Source organism: Homo sapiens, chromosome 3 (assembly GCF_000001405.40).
Source record: "Homo sapiens chromosome 3, GRCh38.p14 Primary Assembly".
Taxonomy (NCBI): domain Eukaryota; kingdom Metazoa; phylum Chordata; class Mammalia; order Primates; family Hominidae; genus Homo; species Homo sapiens.
The window spans coordinates 59,724,329-59,737,319 of record NC_000003.12 but is presented as its reverse complement, the minus strand read 5'-3'; the positions used below and the strand labels follow the sequence as shown (position 1 = coordinate 59,737,319).

General features: G+C 42.8%; 1 long non-coding RNA gene across 1 annotated transcript in view; it reads right to left on the bottom strand.

Annotated features, from left to right (window-relative positions):
• CFAP20DC-DT (CFAP20DC divergent transcript) overlaps positions 1 to 12,991 on the bottom strand; it is a 724,471-nt gene that overhangs the window by 73,991 nt on the left and 637,489 nt on the right. The window lies entirely within an intron of this gene.

Below are 12,991 nucleotides of genomic sequence, written 5' to 3'. Positions count from 1 at the left end.
TCTAGAGATAGGGCTTTCCACCAAGAGTTTGCAGTTAGCTCTTAGATTCCAAAACATTTGAAAAATTGTCGAGAGATCCAAGCAGAGTACAGGATGGAGTGTAGTAGACATTTGAATTTGGAGCTGTCAATCCCATCCAAAACCTACAGTTCTGGGCATGTGACTCCAGCTCATCCAATCAGAATTCTTCCCTACCATTTAGTCTATGAACATAGAGAGAAGCCCTTGACTGGGGTGAGGTAGATTTGAAGTTCCTATAAGTCATCTTGCTCATCATTTGGAGAAGTTTAAGGCAGGAGATGCCAAACACTGTAGGCACACTAGGTGAAGTTCATCCCTGCCTTGTAGGAGCCGATGGTGAAGTTGAAGCAATCATACTGATTCAAGAACAAGTGGGCGTGTGACTGAGTTCTGTGCAAGTTGGCAGTACAATGTCAACTGTACCTGTGACCAAATTGATTTCTCACCTTATCCCACTATGAAGTAGTTGACTCTGTGTCATTCCTGTCTAACCCCCTGAGCCCACACACACAATTACATGCCCTCCAAGCTCCACCCTAAGGTCTGGGATTAGCCAATCAATTTTAATCCGTATTTAAAGGATTTTTCAAAGTGTACAAGTCAGTGCGTAAGATGATAGATCATGTAATAATTAAAGCATTAAAAGAACCCAATTGAGGATTCTCTTTCTGCCAGCAGATATCTTTGGGTCAAGAAGGTCTATAAAAACCGGCAGATCATTTTCATTCCTTTAAGACAGGCAAAAATGACTTTTAATGTAATTAGATGTTCTTACCAATTTTCTTCTGCTGAAGCTCCACATCTTGTTTCCAAGAAGCTCGCAAAAAGTTTAGAACTGTTGGTACGCTGAGCTGCTAATTGATGGTGTGGTATTGCTTTGAAGATATAGAAGCACATGATATTGCTTGAATCATTTTTTTTTTTCTGCTAAATTAGAAATAAGCCAGAGTCATTGCTAAGAGAAGTGGAAGCTTTCCCTTCTCACAGGCAGATGGCCCATCTTGGCACTGTGGAGGCTTGGGCTGCTGTTAGAACTCTGCCCCCAGCTTCTCATCCAATCTCTTGTGGTTCCTGCAGATTCTGGAGTCATGAGTTTGGAAAAAGAAATATACCTAATGTAGTGAATCAGCATTTCTCTTGGATACCCCTATCAAAGTTTTGTTCTATTACTCTCCTCTCAAAAAATCTATCTATCAGGGCACTTTTTAAATTTTAAAGTGGGAGATCTTGTATGTGGTTAGTTTTAATTTCTTTAATCGTTTTGAAGAAAAAGACTCAATGGAAAGTAAAAGTAGTACAACAATGTAAAAGAAAAACATTTTCAGCAAAACCTAGTAACTCTTGGTTCTGGGCAAGACTTTATGATATTGCAGTTAAAAATATAACTTATATAGAATATTATACATCAGCTGTTGACTGTGACTCTTAAAATATGTATCTATACCCTCAAACTCACCCAAGGTCATACAAGAGAATGAACACATTAAAATAGAAAATGGGTTAAAATCACAATCCTTTTGAATGGAAGCCAGATCATGCTTCTCTTCTACACTTTGGAGAGTCAGCCAGGGCCTGATTACATGAGGCCTTGCACAGCACAGTAAAGGACTTAGAATCAAGCCCAGTCTCATCTCCTATGGCAACCCTTCAGGCTCTCAGTTCCAGCCTTCCCGCTACCTTGATGTTACTGAAGAATGTCAAACTAGGCCCATCTCAGGGCCCTTGCACTTCTAGTCCCCTGATGCCTGGAGCGTCCTCCCTTCTTTCCTTCTTCCATTCAGGATTTGACTGAAATGTCACCTGCTCAGAAAGGCCTTCCTTAAGTACCCAGTCTACAATAGTGCTTTTTTTTCCTTCTATGCTTTAACCAGTGTTTTCCGTCAGTGGGGGTCTCCAGTGGGATGGAAGAAAGCAGGTCCCTGGCTGTAGTTCTTGTCTCCTGGACCATACGGCTGGGCTTTAGAGAATGGACTAGCCTCCTAGCCCTCTTGCAGGGCATATGGATATGGCTTTTCCCATACTCAAAGGTCCCTTCTGGGAAAAAATGAACCTCAGGTCGCCAAAGTAAGCAATCAACTAACTCTTCTATCACTGGGATAGTGGACTTTGTATCCCTCTTTGGAAAAATTAGAGACTTTGAGTCTCTTTGGGTTGGAAAGGAGTTTAAAGAGCACATGGTTCAACCTATTGCTTTGCAAAGAAACAAACTATAGCCCAGAGAGGGTATAAAACTTGCCCAGACACACAGAATGACAAAGCCTAGAAACGACACAGCTTAAAACCAGACCTTTTATATTTTCAGTCTCTTACTGAACACATAGAGATGAGTCCATAGAGATTCACCTGTTGATGCTTCCATACAGGATATTTAGAAGGCATTTGTATATGTGCATATCTGTCTTGCCGCAATACGCATTTTATTCTGGGACTGGAGTCTCAGGAAAAGCAAGGTCACGTGAGATACTCTGTGTTCTTACTAGCTTTCAACCGTGTTTTCTTGCCAGGTTTCAACCCGTGATCTTTTGATCCCAAGTAGAACTTGAACATAATTCAAGTTAACCTATTTATGAGGAACTGAAGTAGACTATAACTTATTTGAACATCAATTTCATACTCAAAATATAGTATTAAAGGTTTCATCTTTTTGTTTTTCTCAAAGGTCCTGCTCCAGGTAATAGACTTTTATCCATTAGCCTACAGATTTTCTCAGATGGTAGTATGAGCTTATATAAAAGGCAAAAGAACAGAGTTATACCCATTCAGTACCTTTAAATGGTGGAAAAGAAAAAAAATAACCCCATTAGGCTGTTAAATGTGTCGAACCCCGACAAATTCTCAGTGTGACAATCCTTGGGTATATGTCTGTAATAATTCAGCAAATAAGCCTTTTATTCAGCTACAGAGTTGTACACACTCCAAACACAAGCGCCATTAATTAAATAACACACTCAGCAAACTCACAGAGCCATTAATTATCAAAGGTAGCCTGGTCCATGCTTGGCTCTAAATTCGATTATAAAAGGAGAGTGCAACTTACAGCTAAGGAATATGCTGGACGAAGGTCACCCTCAAAAACATGATAAGAAGCAGCTGTCAGAGAAAGTCAATGACAAAGCATGTATGCCTTTTAGGTTTGCCTTTGCCTCTTCAGAGGGTTTGAAGGAAGGGAAACTGTTTCACACTGTAGGGACTTTCTTTCTCAAAATTAGTTTTTCTCACGAAAAATGCAAGTAAATATAAAGTAATCCTTTTTCATTTCAACTGTGTTGTAGAGAAGAGCAATATCAGCTGAAGATTTTAAGACAAATAAAGCCCGTCTTTCATAAGCCCCATCGGGAGGAGAAAGTTGTTGAGAGGGGCGTCCTGGCTATGCACAGGCACGGGGAAGTGGATGTAAATGGAGCAAACACAGAAGACAGAAGCCTTGCTGGCTTCAAGTGGGCAGCAAAGGAATGCCCCAGTGGTAGTGGAAGTTTTCTAAGGGTGGATTTGCCTGGTTCTGCACCTAAGTATAAGCAGTTTCATTTGCCAGGAGATGGTAAGCCCTGCAGGCTGCGGTCACTCACTCCCAAGCACAAGCTTTGGGATCATCTTTCTTGCGTTTGCTGTTCTTCATGTTGAGTTTATCCCTTCAAAGGGAAAACTGACAAGGCTGAGTCTGTGGTCGCTCTATAAACCACAGTTACCAGTGAACCTCCACCTCACTGCAAAACAGATGTCTGTCTGCACCTCTCCTCTTGAGGGGACTGGCCACATGGTGTGTGGGGCTGTTTTATCCATTCTGTGCCCTCAAGGAGGCAAGCACAGTGGATTGGAAAACAGACCCTGCTTAACAGGAATTCACACTTTCTCACTGCAGGAAGTTGTGTTATTCATGAACATGTACAACGTGCCATGGAGGAATAGTTTTGAGTTACAAAGCTCACTGGGCAGTCGCTCTGTTCTCCTAAGTCCAACTTCACACTGCTGGGTTTGGGGCTGCTGCACTTGGGGGTAACCCCTTCCTATCTCTAGATGGAAGTATAATTGCATCACCTCAGAGATACTCATCAGAGTGGCTCTCTGACCCTTGCCATTTCTCCCTCAGCTTCCCTTTACCCACTTACTAGAAGAGATTGCCGCCAGCAGCTTCTGTGGTCCAATTTCTGAGACCAGTTTATTAAGAAAAAGCTGAAAAGCAGAGGTCAGGGGTGCCTGCCCTTGGAAAATTGCTCACCTTGTTTTTGGTGTGAGCAGAATGACTTTCTGTGGCTGCCTCAGCCTGTATCTCTAGCCTGCTAGGAATGAACAACAGGTACTTTAAAAGAAGAGAGTTGTTAAAGAGGAGTTTTATGTTTGTGTCTCCAGACTGATTTATTGGTAAGTGTGGTTACTTCATTTTAAAACCATGTCTGTGTCAATCCTTGCATAGAATCAAAGCAGGCCATTTTATTAATCCTCGTGGGCAAGGAGCAACATCCTCAAAGGACAACTGTCCTATTCACATGGTTCTGCTATGAGTACTAAAAACAGACAACCTTAGTCAAGTTGAATATTTGCAACTGAAACCTACTGCATCTGAATTGCTTCGGCGCACTTGGGGCAATGTATTGGGAGCATATTTTGTACCAGAGTCAAAGTGGAGGCAGGCTTGCAGCTCATCACCCTCACAGTCAATGATTCCCCTCCAGAGGCGCAGGCCACGCTCCAGACCAGTTAGCTGAGAAGCTCTGGGGGCAGGATGGCAGCATAGCATTTTGGTTTTTTTACCTTCCCAGGTGATTCCAATGAGCAGCCAAGTTGAGAAACACTACCTTAAAGAAACAAGAGGAAGGCGGAGGCCTGCTGAGTTTTTGTGGTGTCAACCCTTCCTTTTTCACCCTAACAAGTTAGATTGACTATAGGCAGCTCCCATCCAGGTTCACCCACAGAAGACACAGACATTCATCTATTTTCTTAGCTTCAAAGCAGAAGAGGCTGTCTTCCTCTAGGTCTGTGAAAGTCTAGGGGAAAGGAGTAACAGGTGGGAGCCTTCTTCACCTACACGCTTGGTAAAAAGGTGAGTGTTGCCTTGAATGCACACAGAGGTGGTGGGGAAAGACAAGACTGGGCCTGATGACACCCACACGTTCAAGGAGAAGTCAGGGTGGTTCACTTCGGACGCAAGCTGGGACCCCTTTGATACTTCTGCTTTCACTCTGTGCCCACTAAGTCATACAATAAAACACTAGCCAACCTCAAAGACTTTCCTGTAGGTTTCAGGCAGAGATGGATGAGAAAGTTACAGCCCACAACCCTCAGCAAATCTTACACAAAACCTCAAGTTCCTCTAACAGACATTTTCATTTTTCTTCCAAATTCAAAGCTGCCGTCTCCAAAAATCTCCTCTACTGTCCACAGCAACAGAGCTCCCCTTCTGCCGTCATTCACCACTCTACAAAACAAACCCCTTATAATGAGTTTCACAGTACTCGCTACCTACTATTTCTCAAGCATGCTTTTAGGGCTGGAGGTAAGGGGCAGGTAATCTGCTACTATGTTGATTAGGAACTTAGAAATAATTGAAAATTGAAAAGCATACATGTTCATAGAGATCAAACTTTTGGCATTCTGGGCTCCTGCCCTCTTTGTCCCCTGAACTCCAGAAGCCCACATATTCTAGACTGCTCACCTGACCCCTAGTTATCTACCACCTTGCTTCACTCTGTGTGAAGTATTTCCCAAAATGGGTTGGAAGCACCTTGAGGAAATAGCCATTCACCTGTTTTCAGGGCCCTTTTTGTACCTCCTCAGAGGCTTAATTGCATTTCAGTAAATCCTTTTGTTGCTATGCCCAGATAACACTGAACAGCACCACTGTCTATTCTAAAGGCAATATGGAAGGAAACTAGCTATATGAAGAGGGACACATTGTGAGAGGAATCCAACTAGAAGATGGGAAGACACATGCACTGCCCAGATGCACCCTTTCCAGTAATGAGGTAGAATCCCACAGTGTCACTGAGTACCGACTTTTCACTTGCTTTGACGCTCATGAGTCTTGCTGGCAATGCAACACAAAGAATTAGTGATGATAATGATAATAACAGAGGCTCTCATTGAGTGAGCATAATAATGTGCTAGACAGGGCCTTAAGTGCTGTCTGTATATTAACCCACCTAGTTCTCTCCACAGCCCCCACGAGGTGTGTTCACATTGCCTAGAGACACACAGCTGGTAAATGATGCAGTGGACTTCAGACTCAAACCTTCACTCCTCAAAGTCTGCCATGCTCACCCAGTATACCTGAGAATGAAAGGCAGACTCTGCTTCCCATAATCTTCCAGGCTAGTTGGGGAAATGAAACGGCTGAAGACAGAGCTTTAAGAAGCCAGGCCAAAGCTGTGACAGAGGAGTCACAGAAGCATTGCAAGTAGACTAATAGAGGCCTCCTCAGGGACGGATAGAGGCATCCACAGAGATTCAGAAATTACAGAGTTGGTGCTGGACAGAGTCAGGGTGGGAAGGAACACAGGGCCACAGTGTTCAGAAGACCAAAAATAGAACCGAGGGAAACTTCTCCTAAGACATAAATCTGCCCAAGACAAGTGAGACAGAGGAAAAGAAAGGGCACATCCATTTTCAGGCCTGCGCAGGTTCTTCTGACTCAAAGTCAATAATTATTCAAGGACAAGGGCCATGATAAATGATCAGAAGATGACCTGTATCTCCAGACAAGGTGGATGGTGCTGGCACAATAGTGGATCATCCCAACGCCATATAGGAATGAGACAGATCCCCTTGTCCGGGGCAGCAAACTGACTGGTACCTATACCCCACTCTCCAGCCCTCACTTACAGACCTCAGTGGGCCCGCAGGGAAGGGATCCTGAGCTCAGATATGAGGCCTCCTGATGCAGGTTAGAAGCAGAAGTGATTCGGCCTCTGTGTTCTGGATCCCAGAAGGGATAAACTAGAATTCCAAAGGGATCTCCTGCCTTTTGACCTCTGACTTTGTTACTAATTTGTAAGAAAAGTGTAGTACTAGACACAGAAAAATCTCCATATACCACAGGCTGAAGTGGGTGCTGGTGTGTCCTCACCAAGGTGGGGTTGAATGGACTCACCTTGGGTTCTGAATGGAAATGAGCAGGGAGCTGGGTCTTCTCAGCTCAGCTTCCCAGGTCTGTGCCTGTAGCACTGCACTCAAAGCTACAAACAGCAAACAGTACGTGAAAAGCCATTTAAATCTTCACTGAAATCCCTTGAAAACGACGTAGGAGAAGTCCATTTGTGTTTCTCAGCAATGTTTCTCAAAAATCTCCTCATGTATCACACCCACGGTAGTGTTAACAAAAAGTCAAACTCTCTAAAATATTAAAAAAGATTTATTCTGAGCCAGACATGAGTGACCATGGCCCAAGACACAGCCCTCAGGAGGCCCTGAGAACATATGCCCAAGGTGGTTGGGGTGTAGCTTGGTTGTATACATTTTAGGGAGGCATGAGACATCAATCAAAATACATTCGAGAAATACATTCATTTGGTTCAAAAAGACGGGACAATTGGTGTGGGGGATGAGGAGGGAAGCTTCCAGGCTATAGGTAAATTTATACATTTTCTGGTTGACAACTGGTTGAGTTTGTCTAAAGACCTGGGATTAATAGAAAGGAAATGTTCAGGTGAAGATAAAAGATTGTGGAGACTCAGTCTCATAGTGGCTGCCCTTAGAACAGATGACAAATGTTCCTATTCAGACTTTTAAAAGATGCTAGACTCTCAGTTAATCTCCTCAGGATTGGGAGGGCTTGGAATAAAAAGATCTAGCTACGTTAAGAGAGATTCTTTACAGATGCACATTTCCCCCCACAAAGGACGGCCTTACAGGGCCATTTCAAGATATGGCAAAGAAACATGTTTTGGGGTAAAATATTTTGATTTTCTTCTTTATCACATAATGTTATGCCAGAGTCATACTGGAAAGTAAGTCATAATATATAGGATTAAATAAAACCCATCTGATGAGAATTTGTGGTTTGTAGGGCATGACTCCCCAGACCCCTTAGATAGGAGGAATTTGGGCAAGATTTAAAAAATCAGAGCTTAGTCCTCAGGAGCTACCCCAAACATCTCCTAGCACCCTTTTTGCAATCTTTCACAAATTTTATAAAATATAACCCAGGAAGTCCTCATTTTTTTTCCCTCCTATTTAATTTTCTCTTTCCTATGATACTCTGCTTTCAATGTCCTCCAAACTAGCAGTCCCAGCTAGCCCAGTTCCTCACCACACTCATTTTACTGATACCAATGATTAAGGCCCGGAAGCTAAGGCTCCAACGGGGGTGGAGGGGGCAGAGCCCTGAGATGCATTCCCATGCTCTCCTGGATGTGGAGCTGGGCCACCATACCACTATACCACCAAGGGATTTCCTCATTTTCTTGCCAAATAAGATTAAAGGACTTTCTCCCTATGTTCCCATTTTATGAGTGGAAATTGTTTTAGGCCTGGCCTAAGATACTTGACCTTAAGGTGTCTTGGCCTTGAAGCAAAGCTCATTCTGCCTCCTGCACAGCACCTCAACATCCAGGGGTTGAACAACTCAGATGTGGAGAACCTGCCAAGAAACACAGATTCCTGGGCCTTTATCCAGACCTGCTAAGTCATCATGTAGGAGACAGAGCCCAGAAATCTGTGTTTTTAACAAGTGGTCAGCAGGCAATTCTGACAATGGCTGTTTGGGATCCTGTCCTCACCTAATTAATACAGACCTGAATTGGCTTGTTTCTAGGTAAGATTTGTGTCTATAACAGACACTCTTAAGAGACCATGCCACTGACCTCTGGTGACAAGGGCAGTAGCCAGAGACCACAGGAAATGTGAGAATCCAGAGTGACTGCAGGCATCAGCAGGGCTGCAGTCCATCTATTTTATATAATTCATCCCTATCAACAGGGCCTCTTGTAAAATGCTAATGGCAATCTAAAAGATTAGCAGTAAACAAACTTATATTTTATTTATTGCCATGACTCAAAAGATACTATTGATTCTAACTAAATGTCTGTTTTTATGTTCCGTCATTTTCAGGCATGAAAGTAACTTGAACAAATCCCAAGGCATAAGGAAATGGGTCTCGTTCTCTAGAACTCTGCGGCATTGGAAATGAAGCTAAGCAGATTTTATTACATCCTGCAATTCTGCAACCTTTTGCAAAGCGTTTTATTACACTTGTGGAAGCCATTGGGGTTATGTTTCAATCATGATGAATGACAGGCTAACTTCTAAACAATGGCATCAACAGCCTTTCCACACTTCCTTGGCTATGTACTCAGAATAGAACCTTTCCTAAATTGTCCCTTGGCCTGGATGGAAATAAAATGGTAGTTAAAATATTTAGCCTGTGCTAACCTAAAAATTGATATCTTACAGTCTCTGAAAGGCATAACTCAGGAAGTGGATCTCTTAGAACTAGTGTGCTTCCTATAAACCAAAGGTTTGTTGAGGCTAAGATTTAGAGTTTCCATTTTGGTAGGTAACATAATAGAACAAGAAATGTACAACCTTTCCTCGGTTATATTCTCTTCCTGCCTTCAGTGCAGAGAAGCAAAGCTCAAGAGCTTAAAATGGCAAAATCAGCTTCAGGAACAAAACAAGCATGTAATGCAGTGATGGGACCTTTCAGACTGAGCTGTTTGAGTGGCAGGAGTGTAAGGAGTGTTAGGAAGCAAGCCCCTTGCCCACAATAGTCAATTTCTTCAAGGAAAGATGACGGTAGTGGGCTCTTTCTTTCCTCTGTTATATTAATAAATGTGGGGATTAGAGTTTACACAGGAAAATAAAACACATCTATAGCACTGCTACAAAGAACAAAACCAGGATTTTTCTTTTTCACACAAAGACTCTGAGAATCTCTTTAGGCTTATGGGCCACTCCCAGACCCCAGTACCATCACCAACATGTGGTGTATCAGTTTCCTGTGTCTGCCATAGCAAATGACCACAAATGGAAATTTATTCTCTCACAGTTTTGGAGACCAGAAATCCAAAATCCAGCAAGGTCATGCTCCCTCCAGAGGTTCTGGGGCAGCACCCATTCCATGCCTCTTTCCTGGCTGCTGCTGGTGGCTGATGATCCTTGGCGTTCCTTGGAATCTTGCTGGTCTCTGTCTGATCTCACTTTCCTCCTCCTCGCTCTGTGTCTCTCTCCTCTGGGTGACTCTTATCAGAACACTTGTCATTGGATTCAGGGCCCGCTTGAATAATCCAGGCTGACGATCTCAATATCTTTAACTTCATTACATCTGCAAACTCCCTTTTTCCAAATAATGTCACATACACAGATTTCAGGGATTTGACGCAGACTTATCATTTTTGGGAGCCAACATTGAAACAGCGACTTCAGGCATTTGGCATTTGATGGTTTTGATCTGGTATAAGACAACAGACTGAGTAGAACTCAACGGCATCTTGTTTAAAATCTTATTATATGCCTTTGCCAAAGCCCTGTTTATTGGGAATGATTGTTGCTGCTTCCTTGAGACTGGAAAGCCCTCTAGTTCCCAAGCCTGGTCTAGGATGTTTCGCTCTTAGCTGAAGGTAAAAAGCACTGCAGTCTGAACAGGATGTGCTCAGTAGAGAAAATGCCAGTGAGAGAAGATGGCAAGTACTGGTAATCTTCCCTCTGCTAGAGGGTTACTGATTTGTGATCCAGAGAACAGCCCTAAAAGTAACAATTATTCTTATACCCAGGATGTCAAACACTGAACCTCTCTCAGGTTGTAATGGCAAATGTCACCAGAATGCCTGGCCCCTGCCTTCAGGGCTAATTCCACATTTCACTGTTTGACTTTGAATTGAAGAAATGAATCAACGCTTGGTCACGTGGAACAGTTAGTTGAGTCATATTGCAAGCCTACTTGCAGTTTTTCTTCCATTTTGTCTATGCAACTAAAATGCTGGGAGAGTTTCATTCCTACCTGTCAATCCATGGGTTTTCTCATTTCAGGCTCTTCCTGTAATTCTGGCATGGTTTGGAGGCTGTGGAGGCTGCAGGTGGGGAAGGCCAGCCTGAAACACTCTATTTCCATGCTGGCCCCATGAGGCCATTGTAAACACGAACTGTTTCCAGAGCCTTTTAGGAGATGTTTTTTCAGAGGTGTGTGAACCACAGCAACTCCATCTTGAGTAGGAGATCATTATTATATAGGGTAAAATGAGGCTGAAACCTACTGGGCTGCATTCCCAGACGGTTAAGGCACTCTAAGTTACAGGATGAGATTGGAGGTCGGCACAAGATACAGGTTATAAAGATCTTGCTGATAAACACAGGTTGCAGTAAGGAAGCCGGCTAAAACCCACCAAAGCCAAGATGGTAATGAGGGCGACCTCTGGTTGTCCTCACTGCTAACTCCCACCAGTGCCATGACAGTTTACAAATGCCATGGCAATGTCAGGAAGGTTCCCTATAAGGTCTAAAAAGGGGAGGCATGAATAATCCACCCCTTGTTTAGCATATCATCAAGAAATACCCATAAAAATGGGCAACCAGCAGCCCTCAGGGCTGCTCTGTGGAGTAACCATTCTTTATTCCTTTACTTTCCTAATAAAATTGCTTTCACTTTATGGACTCGCCCTGAATTCTTTACTGTGTGAGATCCAAGAACCCTCTCTTCGGGTCTGGATGGGGACTCCTTTCCTGTAGCAGTTTCAAGAACTAAACAAAGCCTAATGATACCAATATGGGAAAAGCCAATGATGACTCTGTTTGCTAAAGTGGGTCTGGTCTACATGGAGAAAATACCAAAAGCAATGAAAACCAATGCTTAATTCAGAACAATGTCCCTGGCAGAATCCTTCTTCTCTCTGATTTCTTCTTGGACACAAATACCCACTACTCTGTTTCTCTTTTGCACAGGGGCTGGAGTGTTGCTAATTTTATGGTGAGCAGTGGGTAACTGGATGTGTGCATGAACATCCATTTCCATTATCACATGTCTGTTGTGTTAGACAGAAACAGCATGGCAGCTACTCCCTCCTTGTACTGATGACATTCCGAAGAAGATTCTCCCGTTATCTTTGAGTTCTCACTTTTCCAACTCTCAGCTCATTCCTATTTTTATTGTTATACCTGTCACCAAAATCCACATGGTGGAAAAGAATGATCCTCCATTTTTGGCAAGGAGGTTTAAAGGATCTTCCTCCATGATTGCTTTCATCACAGTTGACCCAAAGCTATAGAACAATACTTTTAAACCCCCACCAATTCTTTCAGATGATGACCAGGAGCCATGTGTCTTACTGAACAGAAACCTCTACCATTCATCCTTCCCTGAATCCAACCTCCAGACTAAGGTCTGGGCATGTACCTCCTTCTTCTGGGTGTCTCCATCTGTTGAATGTCCTTGCTCAACATGCTGGTAAGAAGGAAATGAACTTTTGTTGAATATTTGCTGTAGATACATTTGTAAATGATGTCATTTAATTTATACAAGATCCTCATACAATGTACATGGGAATTTATGCCTAGAAAGATTTAGTAACTTGCTCAAGGTAACAAAGTTGGTAATGGGTGGATGTGAGATTTGAACTCGGGTGTAACCCCAAAACCCATGTTCTTTGAAGAGGAACTGGTAACCATGGACTCTCAGCAAATTTACCATTCCCAATTTCTCTCCTAAGTCTATTGAGTTGGCAAGTTGCTCCTTTGTGCTGATGTACAAAGACAAAGGGGGAGGAATGGTTAAAGAAAAGCAAGGGATATCCAAATATTCTCAAGGTGAAAACCTCCCTTTAGTCATGTAAGTGAGTGCAAATAATGGCATTTGTATACGATAATAACATATTGGTGGGGGCGGGGAGAGATGTTTCTAAACATGTTTACTTTTACCCTAAAGCAAATGTGTTAATCAAAGGGTTAATGATTACCTAACCTGGAAATAAAACAATGTAAAATAATTAAGATGTAACTTCTTAGTTATCAGAATAAAACCTGGGTCATTCCTACCTGGAATGACTAT